This window comes from Homo sapiens, chromosome 7, assembly GCF_000001405.40.
Source record: "Homo sapiens chromosome 7, GRCh38.p14 Primary Assembly".
Taxonomy (NCBI): domain Eukaryota; kingdom Metazoa; phylum Chordata; class Mammalia; order Primates; family Hominidae; genus Homo; species Homo sapiens.
Genome location: NC_000007.14, coordinates 137,021,642 through 137,037,975, shown reverse-complemented (window position 1 = coordinate 137,037,975; position 16,334 = coordinate 137,021,642). Strand labels below are relative to the sequence as shown.

The 16,334-nt window shown below is 36.0% G+C and overlaps 1 long non-coding RNA gene across 1 annotated transcript in view, besides 1 other annotated feature; it reads left to right on the top strand.

The window, feature by feature from the left end:
• LOC349160 (uncharacterized) overlaps window positions 1-16,334 on the top strand; it is a 265,569-nt gene that overhangs the window by 126,366 nt on the left and 122,869 nt on the right. Inside the window, exon 2 of the long non-coding RNA NR_046103.1 lies at window positions 5,063-5,182. This is a non-coding gene — a long non-coding RNA (uncharacterized LOC349160). The remainder of the gene's footprint in view (window positions 1-5,062; window positions 5,183-16,334) is intronic.
• Window positions 11,627-11,827: a silencer, noted in NCBI's record as "peak6770 fragment used in MPRA reporter construct". NCBI's record gives its function as "represses an SCP1 promoter by STARR-seq MPRAs in K562 erythroleukemia cells {active_cell/tissue: K562}" and the evidence as "EXISTENCE:reporter gene assay evidence [ECO:0000049][PMID:32103011]".

Genomic DNA, 16,334 nt, shown 5'->3' with positions numbered 1-16,334 from the left:
AAGTACCTTCTTCTCAAAGCAGCAGGAAAGAGAGAGAGAGAGAGATCAGGGGAAACTGTCGCTTTTGAACTGTCAGATCTCATGAGAACTCCCTCACTATCACAAGAACAGCATGGGGGAAACCACTCCCATGATCCAGTCACCTCCCACCAGGTCCCTCCCTCGACACATGGGGTTTAAAATGCAAGATGAAATTTGGGTAGGACACAAAGCCAAACCATATCAATGTGTTTCTGAGAAACCCAAGAGAAATACCATTTGGAGCAAATAAAATAAAATGCAGCTACAATTCAAACACCTAGTGTCCATTATTAATATGTTAATGCATTTCCACTCCAGTTGTTATTGTTGTTAATGTTTGCTTCATTTGTTTAAATCCCCACAGGTAATATTTTTTTCTTTGCCTAAAAATTAAAACATTACTAAAAATATTAGCCTCCTGTGACAACCACTCCCACTTGTAATTTTCCAATCATTGGAAAAAGACTGTTTTTAATTTGTTCTATAACTTTCTAAAATGTTTCCCATGCATTTACATATACATAAATGAAACTGTAAAATATCATTTGTCTGTGTGACTGCAAACTTATATTTATAAATATGCTTTATTATGTGCATATTATTCTACAACTTGCTTTTCCCTCCTGTATTTATTAAGTTCATTTCTTTAAAATACTTTCACAGTATTATTTACTTACATAGTGAATTAGGCCTTTCCTCTTATTAGATATGTAGGTTTTTTAACAGTTTTTACAGTTACAAACAACACAGTAATGACATTTATTGTATGTTCCTCTCCATGTGCATATACAAATGTTTGTCCTGATATGCAAAGTAAACACGATTTTACTTTTAATAACCACTCTGATTATGTAATAAACCTTGATATTAGCTAGAGCGGGTGTGAAAGGGAATGGCCAGCTACTCAACAATCTGAATCCTGTTCCTTGAAACACTGAAAGCTAAATTTTCAAGTTCCTCTTGGAGTGAGATCAAGGCCATGTAACTACTTTGGGTGAATGGAATGTAGGGATTTTCCCTTAGAGTAGAATCTAGGAACTTTCCTCTCTCCAGAATAGGAGGACTTTATGCTGCCCAAGAGGACTGCAGCATTGCTCTGGACCAGTGACTGTGAGCATTTCATTCTCCTCCATTTTTCCTCAGAAGGTTTATTATGGTTATCCTGTCCCTGTTCCTGCATTGCACATGTGGTGCATGTGGCAGACAGGGCAAGTAAATTAATGTAGATGCAGGTAATTTACTTTTTATTTCAAAGGTTGCCAGACAAAGAAGGAAGGACTATCTGTCACATTGAGATCTTTGTCAATGAACTGGTTCCATTGAAGGGATGGTTGTCCTGGAAGCTGGCAGATTTTAAGGAAGAAAAGGAAAGTAAAATGGATATTTGGTAATAAAATGGTCAGAATGATGGACTGTGGAGGAAACATCTGGATACCTACTACTGACTTCCCTCTTACTGAGAGAAAACTGGAGTTTTATCTGCTTACATTTGTGGAATTATAGATATATTTGTATGTATGTGTGTATCTCTGTGTGTATAATATCATATATATTAAATTTACCTTTTAATTTTGAAATGATTTTAGATTATTATTGTTTTAGGAGATAATACAGACAGACTCCATGTATCTTTTACCTAGTTTCCTTCAATGATGATATCTTATAAAACTATAGCACAATATAACAACCACACTATTGACATTGATACAGTGACGGTGAAACATTTAAAGGTTCACAAGGATCCCTCATGTTGTCCCCATTTAGCTGCAGTCATTTCTTTCCCTCTTTCATCTCCTTAATCCCTGACAGCACTAATCTTGTCTCCATTTCTTTTTTGTTTGTTTGTTTTTGTTTTTGAGAAAAGAGGTTTAATTGGTTCATGATTCCACAGGCTGTACAGGCTTCTGCTTCTGGGGAGGCCTCAGGAAACTTACAATCATGGTGGAAGGGGAAAGTGAAGCGGGCACGTCTTATGTGGCCAGAGCAGGAGGAAGAGAGGGCAAAGTGGGCGGTGCTACACAGTTTTAAGCAACCAAATCTCCTGAGAACTCACTTTCTTGAGAACAGCAAAGGGGAAGTCTGTCCCCATGATCCAATTACCTCCCACCAGAACCCTCCTCCAACATTGGGGATTACAATTCGACATGAGATTTGGGTTGGGACACATTTCTATAGTTTTAGCAATGTTATGCATATAACCTTTTGGGATTGAATTTTTTTCATTCACTATAATTCCCCGGGGAATCATCCAAGCTGTTGTATATTTCAGTAGTTTATTATTTGTACTGCTAAATAGTACACCATGATATGACATACCAGAGTTTGTTCAACCATTCACTTGTTCATCTGAGTTGTTTCCAATTTGGGGCTATTACAAACAAAAGTGGTATAAACATTCATGGATGAGATTTTTGTGTGAACATAAGTCTTAATTTCCCTGGGATAAACTCAGGAGTACAAATTGCTGGGTTGGATAGTAAATACGTGGTTGGTTTTTAAGACACTGCCAATCTGTTTTCCAGAGTGACTGTACTATTTTGCATTCCCATTAATAATGTCTGAGTGATCTAATTTCCCTACATCCTGGCCAGCATTTGGTGCTGTTTATGTATGTATTAGCCATTGTCATTAGTGTGTTGTGATATTTCACTGTGGTTCTCATTTTTATTTCCCTGATGGCTAATACTTATTTGATGTCAGTGTATCTTCTCTTGTGAAATGTCTGTTCATGTCTTATGCTCATTTTCTAATTCGATTGCTTGCTTTTTTTATTGTGGAGGTTTGAAAGCGCTTCAAATATTCTGTATACTATTTTTGCAAATATTTTCTCACTGTTCATATCTTCTCTTTTCATCTTGTCCACAGTCTTGCGGAGAGCAACGGTTTTTAATTTTTATGAAATCTCATTTATCAGTTTTTCCTTTTATGGCTCATGCTTTCGATGTCAAATCTAAGGACACTCTTTCTAGCCTTAGAAATCAAGTATTTTTTGTTTTTTTTTCCCTAAAAGTTTTGTAAATTTATACTTACTTTTAACTTTATAATGCATTTGAATTATATTTTGTATAAGGTATGAGGCTTAGGTTGAAGTTCACATTTTTGTTGTAGATGTCTAATTGCTCTAGCATCATTTGGTGAAAAGGCTATTTTCCTTCTTTTTTAAATGTTTGGTAGAATTTTCCAGTGAAACCATCTCGCCTGGTGACTTTTTGGGGGGCTATTAGTTTTAAATTATTAATTCAATTTTCTTAATTGTTATGGAGCTATTCAAATTATTTACTTCACATTGGATGAGTTGTGATTATTTGTATTTTCAAGGAGGTGACCTGTTTTATCAAAGTTGTCCATTTTATACATGCATAATTTTTTGTAGCATTCTGTAATCATCCTTTGGGTTATTTGCAGGATGTATAGTGATATATGCTGTTTAACTTCTGAGATCAGGAATTAGTATATTCGCTCTTTATATTCCTTTGTTCATCTTTCTAAAGGTTTGCCAATTTTATTAGTGTTTTCATACAAGCAGCTCTTTCATTTTTTTTTAAAGTAATTTTCGCTTTTACCATTTTATTGCAAATTTTCAAATTTCTCATGAAAACAGAAATACAAACAAGTTCATCAGCAGTCTGGAAATAACTCGTACATGTAGTGAAATTACAAATTGTCCTTTTAAAGAAATGCAATAATTATCCATATAAAATGGAATATCTTTATTGCCTTAAATTACGTTTTATTAATAATAAGAATATAAACTTTTCTATATCAAATAGTCTTTAATTTATATTTCTGTTTTTGGAGGGCCACCATTTCATATATTCTGCCAATTGTTTATGAAGTTTATCTCTTTGCTGTTGATCTGCAAAAGCTGTTTATATATTAAGGACATTAATATTTTTCATTGCGTACATTGCAATTAATTTCTAGTCTGGCTTTATTGTTGTTAAAGGAAGTTTTGTAACAAATTTTTTAAAAAGTTTTCAAAAACAAACATAAAAATCTTTTTTTTTCTTTATGATTTCTGCTTGGATATCAAGGCCTCTTTTTTTTTTTTTTTTTTTTTTTGACTGAGTCTTGCTCCGTCACCCAGGCTGGATGCAGTGGCACGATCTTGGCTCTCTGCAGCCTCCACCTCCCAGGTTCAAGTGATTTTCCTGCCTCAGCTTTCCAAGTAGCTGGGACTACAGGTGTGCACCACCACGCCTGGCTAATTTTTGTATTTTTAGTAGAGACAGGGTTTCACCATGTTGGCCAGGATGATCTTGATCTCTTGACCTCGTGATCTTCCTGCCTCTGCCTCCCACAGTGCTGGGATTACAGGCATGAGCCACGGTGTCTGGCCATTTTTTTTTTTTTTAAAATAATCTCATCTCTTTAAAAAGCAATTCCCCTTTTTATGTGATCTATCATTTGTGTCTGACCCTTTCCCAAAGAGTAACTTTCTTTTTTGTTTTTAACTTTTATTTTAGGTTCAGGGGTACATGTGCAGGTTTGCTGTATAGGTAAATTGTGTGTCATGGGGGTTTGGTGAACAGATATTTCATCACCCAGGTAATAAGCATAGTACCTGATAGGTAGTTTCATGATCCTCACCCTCCTCCCACCCTCCACCCTCAAGTAGGCCCTAGTGTCTATTTTTCCCTTCTTTGTGTCCATGTTTCCTTAATGTTTGTCTCCCACTTATAAGTGAGAACATTCAGTATTTGATTTTCTCTTCCTGCATTAGTTTGCCTAGGATAATGACCTCCAGCTGCATTCATGTTGCTGCAAAGGATATGATTTCATTCTTTTTTATGACCACATAGTGTTGCATGGTGTATACGTTGTACCTCAGTTTCTTTATCCAATCCACCATTGATGGGCATCTAAGTTGATTCCATATCTGTGCTATTGTGAATAGTGCTGCAATGAACATACAAGTACACATGTCTTTTTGGTAGAACAATTTACTTTCCTCTGTGTGCTTACCCAGTAATGGGATTGCTGAGTTCAATGGTAGTTCTATTTTAAGTTCTTTTTTTTTTTTTTTTTTTTTTTTTGACAGGGTGTTGGTGTCCCTCTGTTGCCCAGGCTGGAGTGCAGTGGCAAGACTGGCTCACTGCAACCTCCACCTCCTGGGATCAAGCGATCCTCCCATCTCATCCTCCAGGAGCTGGGACTAAAGGTACATGCCACCATGCCCCGCTACTTCTGTGAGAAATCTCCATACTGCTTTCCACAGTAGCTGAACTAATTTACATTCACACGAGCAGTGTATAAACATTCTTTATTCTCTGCAACCCCACAAGCATCTGTATTTTTTTGACTTTTTAATAGCCATTCTGACTGGTGTGAGATGGTATTTCATTGTGGTTTTGATTTGGATGTCTCCAGTGATTAGTGATGTTGAGCATTTTCATATGCTTGCTGGCTGCGCATATGTCTTCTTTAAAAACTATCTATTTGTGTCATTTGCCCACCTTTTAATGAGGTTGTTTTTTTGCTTGTTAATGTGTTTAAGTTCCTTATAGAATCTGGCTATTAGACCTTTGTCAAATGCATGGTTTGCAAATATTTTCTCCCATTCTGGTGGTTGTCTGTTTACTCTGTTGATAGTTTATTTTGCAGTTCAGAAACTCTTTAGTTTAATTAGGTCCCATATGCGAATTTTTGTTGCAATGTTGTTTGGGGTCTTCATGAAATCTCTGCCATGGCCTATGCCCAGAATGGTATTTCCAAGATTATCTTCCAGAGTCTCTATACATTTACATTTTACATTTAAAAAGCTTAAGTTTCTAAAGTGTTTTTCTCAAATGTATGATATTAAAAAGGGAGGCAGATAATAATAGTCACTCAATTCATGAGATATTCTGTAATTGGTAGTGTCTGTAAAGATCTTTATCTCTTCTTGATTTAAGTGGACATTTTAATGTGTTTTTAAGCCTCTAAACTTTGAGCATTTCTGACCAAATGAAATAACATACAAAATGAAACACATTATTATATTTGATTCAGAAAGAAACTTATAATTCACACTTTTGTTGATGAGGAGACCAGGACAGAAGAAGCAAGAGGTAGGGATAATCAAAATATCAGAATACTTAAGTTTGTCTCACAGATAACTGGCATCTAAATAATGTAAGAGTCTTCACCAAACTTAGGAAATATTTCCAAATGTTCCAAAAGAGTAAGATGATCTTACTTGCCTTCAGATAAAGAGAATAAATATGCCCCTGCCTAGTACAAGAACTAGTTCTGTTGCTTATATAATGCAATAACTTCAAATTCTCAAAATCTGAATTTCTTAGTGATTCTAATGATTTTCATAGTTATGTTTATCTTTCCAATCAAAAGAGCTCAATTTTAGAACAGTGGTAAATATTTTAGAGATTTGGAGTGTTGATTCATGTTTTCTTTCATTTTGTTCATTGCTACTTATCATTTATGTAGAGCAAATGTGTTCTTTGTCTTCGTTTTGGGAAGATATGTTAATCTTGAGTTCAGATTATAATAATGAGTAAATATTTCAAAACCGTCTTCTAAATAACCACTGTGACACTTTGTTTAAAATCATCTTTATGTATATCCACTTGGCTTCAGCTACACAGTCTATGTGATGGAAAAAACTTTTGGATCTTCCCTGTGCAGTACTGGATCTCAAAACCCCAGAATAGAGCCAGATAAATCACTTTCACTCCATAAATATTTTCTGAATAAATGATTTTATGAACAAATGAAAGAATTTGTAGTAATTGGCTCCTGGTTGGTTTGGTCAAACCATCAAATTAAGTCGTAACTCTAAAATAGATGTCTAATTTTCTATTGTCCTCTGAATTCTCAATCCTTGTGCTCGTCCTGATATTCTGGCTTTTGAATCCATCGCTTCAGAATTGGAGTCCTAAATTACCTTTTAAACATTTCATGGAAATTAAAGAATCTTATGCTTTCTACTTTCATAAACAATACTTGTTTATTACCTAAGGACATAGTAGGTAACAATCCATTCAGAATCGATGCATTGAGGAAAGTTTAATAAAGGCGCTATGTACAGAGGTGAGGATGGTGTTTAGGAAATCCATACAAAAGAGAACAGTGCAAGATGCTGGGGCTAGTAACAGAGAAGTGCCATTACCACCCTTCAGCCTGAAAGGCCAAGGGAGGGAGAAGTTACTGGACCTAGATTGCAGGCCACTTGGTTGGCCTCTTGTAGGAGGACACAGCCAAGTTGTGGTGGGTGACCTCAACTAAAAACTAGAAGATAAGTTTTAGTTATGGCTAAGAAGCATATTAATGCGATGCATACAGGTCAGCTTCCCAAAATCCACAGAGCAGGATGGAGAATGTAGTGGACCAGAAGGGGCTGGAGAAAGATACTCAGCATGGCTTGATACATAATGTTGGAATCCAGATGTAAGGACTCTGCCTAATGACCGATGATAAAGTATTTTATTGTGCTTCCTACGCTAAGCCAGCCGCTTACCTGAACAGATCTCTCTCTATTGCTCCCTTCAATTGTCTGTTCTAGCTCTATGTCATTCACTAATGGGAACTCCGTAATTTGCTACAGTCCTTAGCTCTAGCCTATCTCTTCAATCTGACTTTTTCTTGCAGGTCTGATTTTCCTTTGAATCAAAAAATTGTTACTGACTCTTGAGACAGTTCATGTGAGAAATATGATTAGAGCTCTTGGAAGTGAATAAATAAAATTGAAAACACTGCTTTTCTATAGGAAACATCAGCTTTCATATTCAGTAATTTAATTTGAAAACCTCAAGCAGCTTCATCAGAATTTATCCTAAAATATTTCTAAAGATGACTTTGATTTGCTCACCCTCCTCCCTCCACCACATACACAAAATAGAAGGAAAGAATTTAATTTTAGCAAGTTGGATTCTATCTAACATATCAGATCTTGATTATTCATAAATTATTTTGAAAAGTGAATATAGTAGCCATTTGAATGGGCATGCTATTTTGAAGTAAATAAAAAAAAAAACTAAAACCACTGGATCTCATGGCTGGCCCCAACCAACCCCATGGAAAAAATGTAGCCAACTAGTCTGGACTGACATGACCCCAAGTAGCATTTGTTTACCTTGGAACAATATTCTGAAGTTATCTGAGAGTAACCCTGGAAAGACTTGACTTATAAACTCCACCTCATTAGGGTTGGAAGATACAATAACCTCTACTATAAGCACATATCAACTCTATTTTTGGTCCCTTAATCTTCTACTGCCTGAGTGTGCGCTTTTAAATTGAGAGAACAAGCCAGGCATAGTGGCACGTGCCTATAGTCTCAGCTACTTGGGAGGCTGAGGCAGGAGGATCACATGAGCCCAAGAGTTTGAGACCAGTCTGGGCAACATAGTGAGACAATGTCTCTAAAATTAAAATTAAATAAATGCGAGAGAACAATTTGTTTCCTTATGTGCAGGAAATCAAAGTGATATAGGCCAAGTCATTTAACTTCTAAATCAAATATCCCTTATCTGAAAAAAGTGATAATAGTGTCCACCTTATAGGGTAGGTATAAGGATTAGCTTGGGTGAAATGTGTGATGTTCACTGTATAAATTGGTAGGCACTTTGTGAAGGGGCATTTTGTTCCACTAACAATGGTTTCTATGGTTTTGCTTGAGATTAATAAGAATAGTTCTGTTTAAAGACTAATGTCAAAGTATCTGACCATCTAATAGAAATTTCAAGAAGCTCTATAACTGTAAGAGGCTCAGGAGGGTTTAAAGAGGGGGGAAACTCAGGCCTAGACTTAAGTTGCCTCTGTGGGCCCAAGAAGCAGAGCTCCCTGGTCAAGTCTCCAAAGTGGAAGTTTCCTTTAATGTAGGATTGAGAGCTGGGCAAACACTTCTCACTGGGGACTGCAGGTCTTGGGGATAAAGGACAGGGCATTGGTGGAAAAGAAGGGCTGGGAGAAGAGACCCTTTTTGCTGTGTCCCCAAGCCGGCCTTGCCCTCAAATTCTGCAGGCCCCGAGCTCTCTCAGACACCTGTTATATTTATGGACCAGACAATGGGGGAGCATCAAGCACAGCCTGTCTGGGTGTAGCTTCTTCAGCTATCTGGCTGCACCATAGAAACTGGGCATTTCAGGAGGCATCACTTGGGTCACCCTGAAAATCCCCTGGGGGGTTGCAATCCTGGAAAATATTTCAACTAGCTGCTTGAGCTGGATGTACAAAGAAATTAGCAATAAAATAATGCTGTAATGTTGTATGATACTTCAACTGTACAATAATATTGTCACTTATCATAAATGTACCATGGTTTTATTAACAATAAAACCATAAATAGAAATAACAATGAAAAGAAATCTATTAATGAGGTATTAATATAGGAATATATACTGTACATATATATTGCATTATATAAGTATATTATATATTATATATGTAAATATACATTACATATACATATATATTATACATATATAGATATATACATATTCCCCAGAGGTTTAGACCGAGGAAACCAGGTCAAGCTGCTTCTCAGGTGCTTGCTGTATAATTAACCACTTTTAGATTTGAGTCTTGGCTATTCCACATGCATCTGTGACCTTGGGCAATTACTTGATCTCAGAGAGCTTCCAGTTCCTCATCTATAAAATAAGTACAAAAATTTCTCATATGATTAACACCAGATCTAAAAAAATACCTGGAATGTAAAATGAGCTAGAACAGTGTAAGATATGAATAACCTTATTACTGTAATTTACGTGACTATTTAAGCAAAACGCTAAAATGATTTGAGCAATGTCTCAAAAGAAAAGAATAATTATATTCTATCTGGAGTGTTTCATAGTTAATTCCCTTTATTGAGGAAATGGTCTGGAGTTTCCAGAAGTCTCACTTATTTCAGAAAAGCACCGGCTGGGTTTACAGGACACTTAGGACTCTGCAAAGTGAAGGCTAAAAGCTCTGAAATCTTTGGTCTCTATTTCAGTTTTCCATGACAGTAAGTGTTACACATATACAACTTTGAGTACTCCTCTTTGTCAGGCACTCTGCTAGGAGCTTTTCAAACTCTAATTACTTCTAATCCTCAAATTAGTGCTTGTATAAATATATATATAATTTATAGCAATACTATGTATATATAGATATTGACTGTCTTTACATATGAAGAAATTAAATAACTTTCTCAAATTTAGATATCTAGAAAGTAAGGAAAAAATGTTAGTGAGAGAAGAGTGATCATGTATAAAGCACTGTCTTAGGTGAACAAATGTAGATGTGGTCTTTGAATTTTCAAAGCGTATATTCTATAGGTGGAGACAAAAATTTAGTCAAATGATCTCTCATGCATAAATAAAATTTCAGCTATGAAAATTGCTATGGGGGCTATAGTAGGGGATTTGATGTAGTTAGAACACTCAGGGAGGTATACCAGAAAGTCTCATCCTGGATCTGAGATGCAAAGGGTACTTAGGAGCTATCCAGGTAATGATGGGTGAGGAGAGCTTTCCAGGCAAAGTATGATTAAGTGCATGTGCAAAGGTCCTTTAGCAGGGGGTGCATGATGAGGACAGGTGTGGCTTGTGCCAATGTGGCAAGCGCTATGCAATCACATGGGAGTGTGGTGAGAGGTGAGGATGGAGAGGAAGGAGGGGCTATGCCTTGAAGTGCTCCTAGGCCAGATAAAGGATTCTGGACTTTGGCAAAGGAGGGAATCACCCACAGATCTGAAGCAGATTTGCCTTCTGAAAAGACTGCTCTGGTTTCAGTATAGAAGACATATGGGATGGGGTCAGAGCTGATGTGGTAAAATCAGTTAGGCTACCTGTGCTGTGTAGAGGTATTAGTGGAAATGGGAGAAGTTCATAGATTTAACAGATTTGATATTTATGAGGTAAAATTGGGAGGACTGGAGGTATAATTAGAGGTGAAAGTCAAAGGTAGTGCTTTGGTTTCCATTTTGTGCAACTGAGTAGAAGATGGGTTAGGAAATAGCAGAATGGGGCCACTTTTGAGGGTGAAATCAGGAAGGTAGCCTTGAACATGTTGAGGTTGAGAAAGGTGTGAGAAATCCATGAGGGGTGCTCAGGTGGGTAGACAATAGTCTATACAGTGCTGGTGTTCAATGGAGAAGCCTGGAATGGAGGTAAGATTTATGTTCTGTCACATTTAAGATGATAATAAAAGCTGAGGTTATAGATAAGATCAGATCAGAATAGAATAATGAAATGAGACAGAGGCCAGCGTGAAGTGTCAAGGAAATTGAACTGCTGATTTCCAGGGAGGCTGAAGCAAAGTCTTTATGACCATTACAGTTTATAGAGAGCATCTGCTCTTGAAAGTGGGGATAAATGATAAATAAGGTTGTAACCAACCTCAAGACTCAAAGAATCTAAGTTTATATCATAAACTTGAGTGCACGAATACTTCTGAATGAATTCTTCCTGGGGTTGGAATTGCTACCACCTCATTGACAAGAACATAGTCAGCTCCAAGCCAAGTCACCATGGTGACCTGTGTACACTTGAGAACATTTGATATGAGTTTTTGTGGGTGTTGACTTTCTTCTTGTTTGGAGAGAGGAAAACCATATTGGATAGATGTCTTAAAATCAATTCTTTGTGGAAATTATACAAAAACAGGAATGCTTCCTGACACATCTAGTCCACTAAGTACCGATCTAGAAACCAGGCAAACCTGGAGTCCATCTAGCCAACACTTTAGGAATGCCAGAAATGTAGAACAGTTGGTAGAAAGAGTACTCCTGAGCAATTTTCATCTGGTAGATAGTGAAAGCAAAATGAAAAGTCTTTAAGGGTAGAGCCAGAGCTCCCCGTAATTTGCACTGAAATTAGTACTTAATCAAGTGAGGAACTTGCACTAATTGACATTCTCTTAAAGAGTAGTCAGGAGTATAGAGTCTGGTTTCCAAGATACTCACAGAGATATTCTAAACAGGATGAATCATTTGATAAGGGGAGTTACAGTGGTTTTTTGTTTGTTTGTCTTTTTTTTACTTTTTGTGGAGAACAGGGTCTCACCATGTTGCCCAGGCAGGTCTCCATCTCCTGGGTTCAAGCTATCTTCTCGCCTCTGCCTCCCTAAGTGGTGGGATTACAGGCGTGAGCCACAATGTCTGGTCATGATGAATCATTGTCTTTTTTAAAAAAGCAAAATATTTTATTGTTGTATTTGTTGTATTTTCTGACTGGCGTAAGGATTCATTTAGGGATATAGTTTGGCAAAAACACATCCAAGGACACAGCATGTAAATATTATTCTTCAACTCTTTCTGAGACTTGGCATCACTGCTTCCTCAGCACTGAATTTGGAAGTTGAAATGTCTTTGTATATATGCATCATCAACACTTGAGCCAATACTCCTTTGGTATGCTGAATATTTTCCATTGGTACATACCTCATTCCCTGCATTTGCAAGTCATTTTCCATTAAATTCCTAGTACTGTTTCTTTAAACATGTTCTTTCTCTTTTATAAATAAAGCATATAATATGTATATAATTATACACACTTGTATAAATACATGAACTTGATAGTAAAACTAACTATATGTATATAGTTATATTTAATCTCCAATCCAATTTATATATAAATTTGGATTATCTTTAAAGATCCTGTCAAAAATTATCCGTATGCCGTTTGTAGAATATAAAACATACCTTTTTTAAAGAATACTAACATTCTTCAATTTTTCTAGTATGTAAATTTTCAATCTTAAATAACCTACGTGATTTGGAATTCACATACATTTAATAGTTGTCTTTTATTACAGAATTTTTTAAGACTAGGATTCTATACTACGTGTGTATTTCTCTCAAGTGAATGCTATATATCTTACTCAAAAAAGTAAAGCAGTGGAAACAAATAAGAAAGATAACAGGTTCCTTTGTCATTCAAATTTTTAGAAATCATTATAGCTAAGGTAACAGTATAATCCTAAGTTGTCATTTACATAAAGTATTTCACCTGTACATGGCCAAGAAATACTGTTCATTAAAATTTGCTTCCAAATAGGTATGCATACATGAAACAAACTTTAGATCCCATTTTCATCATATCTGAAATTTTAATAATTTTATTTTCATTCATTTCTCCCAAGTTTGTGGTAGTTTAGAGTTCCTCATACACTCTGTACCCAACAGGGGCTTTGATAGACTTTAATTTCTTGATTTAGGACTAATAACTAATGATGACTCATTCCCAGCTGCTGATTGTGCATGCCAAGATCTGCATTAAAACAGCACAGTCTAGATTACTTCACAGGGTGGCCATGGGACAGTGTCCACCACTTTGTGAACAAACTTTTAGAGCCCATGAGACCACAGCGGCAATTGCTGCATATTGTTCAGAAATAATTACAAATGGCAGTCATTAAGTCCATAGAATTGCTTTTTTATTGTATGTTATATTTTTGCACTTTGCCCATATTTTTGTTTCTTGTTTTCTGTTTGTTTGTTTTTTGCTATTTAGTGTATGTGTCATTATTAGCAGTTTTCTTATACAGCCATGTACCACTTAATGTTTGGTCAAGGACAAACTGCATCTAAGATGGTGTCCACATATGAGTGGTCCATTCCATAAGATTATAATACTGTAATTTTACTGTACTTTTTGTATGTTTTTATGTATTTAGATACACAAATACCACTGTTTTGCAACTACCTATAGTATTCAGTACAGTTACTTGCTGTACAGGTTTGTAGTCCAGGCTACAATATACAATAGGCTATACCATATAGCTTAGGTGTGTAGTAGGCTGTGATGGTTAATACTGCATGTCAACTTGACTGGATTGAAGAATTCAAAGTATTAATTCTGGGCATGTCTGTGAGGGTGTTGCCATAAGAGATTAACATTTGAGTCAGTGGTCTGGGAAAGGCAGATCCACCCTTAATCTGGTGAGTACAATCTAATCAGCTGCCAGTGAATATAAAGCAGGCAGAAGAATGTGAAAAAGTGAGATGGCCCTAGCTTCCCAGTCTACATCTTTCTGCCCTGCCAGATGCTTCCTGCCCTCAAACATGGGACTCCAAGTTCTTCAGTTTGGGACTTGGACTGGCTCTCCTTGCTCCTCAGCTTGCAGACAGCTTACTGTGAGACCTTATAATCATGTAAGTTAAGACTTAATAAACTCCCATTTATACATATATATATAAATACCCATATATATCTTTATGTATATGTATGTATGTATCTGTCTATCATCTATCTATCTATCTATCTATCTATCTATCTATCTATCTATCTATCTATCATCTATCTATCTAGTTCTGTCCCTGTAAGAGAACACTGACTAATACGTAGGCTATACCATATAGATTTGTGTATGTATACCCTAGGATGCTCACACAACAACAAAATTGCCTAAAGAAACATTTCTCAGTACGCATCCCTGTTGTTAAAATATGCATGACTGTATTTCTTTAAAAATTGGTTTTGCTTTCTGAAGTAGCAGTGTCAACTACAACACAAATTAAAAGCAATCCTCAGAAAAATAGCAATTTTTGTGTTTGCCTCTCAAAACACTTATAAAAATTACCTTTAAAACATTTTAAAAGATAAAAAAACTAAAAAGAGATGAAGTAAGTAGACATAAGAAAAAAACATAATAAATGGACATAAGAAAACATTACAAAAATTTATTTTTCCAAAATAATAAATAATAATCATGGTTTAATAAAAGAAATTCTGTTAAACTTTTATTATTCATTTGAGGGAGTTGAGGGATAATTTATTTTCTTTTCTCACTGGGACTTCATATTTTATCATTCCTGTTTCATTCTAAATTTTATTCCTTATGGATTTTTTTTCTGCTTAAATACAAACTTGTTCAGGTTATATTTTCCATGCAGGTTAAGTTATTCAGTAGGACTGAGAAAAAAGGAAATTATATTGTTCAACCACTTAATATTTGATGTTTAAATTACTTTGATTTACTTCTTTATTAATAATTTTTAAAAGTGATATAACAAGAAAATAAAAATAATCAGATCATTAATCTTACTTTTCCTGCAAGATGGAAGATGCATATATGGCTTTCCTGTTTATTAACTCAGGACACAAGACATTTTGACCATTTGATCATCTGTTGCATATTAACAGTAAGCTTCATTTCTAAATTTCTATACATTCTGTAAGTACAAAGAGCTATATGGCTAAAGGAAAGTCTGAGAGGGATTTTTGGAAGAAATGTGCAGAGAAGGTATCACTGTTTCCTCTCCTCAGCACTCTAGATAGTTATGCTGACATTTAAAGCACCATCTTATATAGTAGCGTAGTGCTTGAGGACACCCATTGTGAAGATATGAATTTGTAGATATGTTTTGTATGTGTTATGACATATTTTTCTGATATAAACATGTTTTCTCACCATGACCCCATGTAATCACTGGTATGTGATGAAGAGATGGCCTGCAGACAACTGGAAGGCTGTTGGTGGCAGACAGAGAGCTAAAACTCACTCATATGATTCTAACAGATTTAGAAAATTGTGCAGGGAACTGACCATCGAGCAAAGAGGAGCAAATAGAATTTTTTCTTCAACATCACTCAGCTGAACTCTAGAGTTCAATGGCCTCTAGTAATATTCCAAATGCTTTTGGAAGTAGTAGAAAAGTTATGCCTCTGGGCACTGTCGAGAGGATGAGACCTGTGTGTGTTTGTATGCATGTATGTGTGTGTATTTGTATGGGCATATGTGTGTTTCTGTACCTGAGTATGTATGGTTGTGTATGTTTCTTTGTGTGTGTATGTGTGTGTTAAGGAGGGAGAGGTTGATGGATTACTTCTTAAATGCAAATATTTTTTACTTGCTGGTAATTCTAAACAACATTATAGCAGAATGATTCTTTCTTAATACTCATATGAAAGGAAAAAGAATGTGTTTAAATGCAGTCTCTGGAAAAATACATGATGTAGGTGATGATAGAAAAATATATGCTTAAAATATATATTTTAGTGGAGATATCGCAGACAGAAGTCAAGCATCTATTGTATTTGTCTTTAAACTTTGATATGTGCTATGGCTTGAGTATGGTTTGTCTCCACCAAAACTCATATTGAGACTTGGTCCCAAGTGTAACAGTGTTGAGAGGTGGTGGGACCTTTAAGAGATATTTGTGTCATCAGGGGTGCCCCTTTCTGAGGGAATTAATGCCCTTTTGCTAGAGAGAGTGCATTCTTGCAGGTCTAGGTTAGTTAACACAAAAGTAGGTCATTATAAAGTGAGATTGTCCCTTGTATTTTGCCTCTTTTGCACAGGCTTCCACCATGTAATTGCATCCACCATGTTAGAGTGCAGCATGAGGCCCTAACCAGGTGCGGCAGCCCTATTTTGAACTTTCCAGC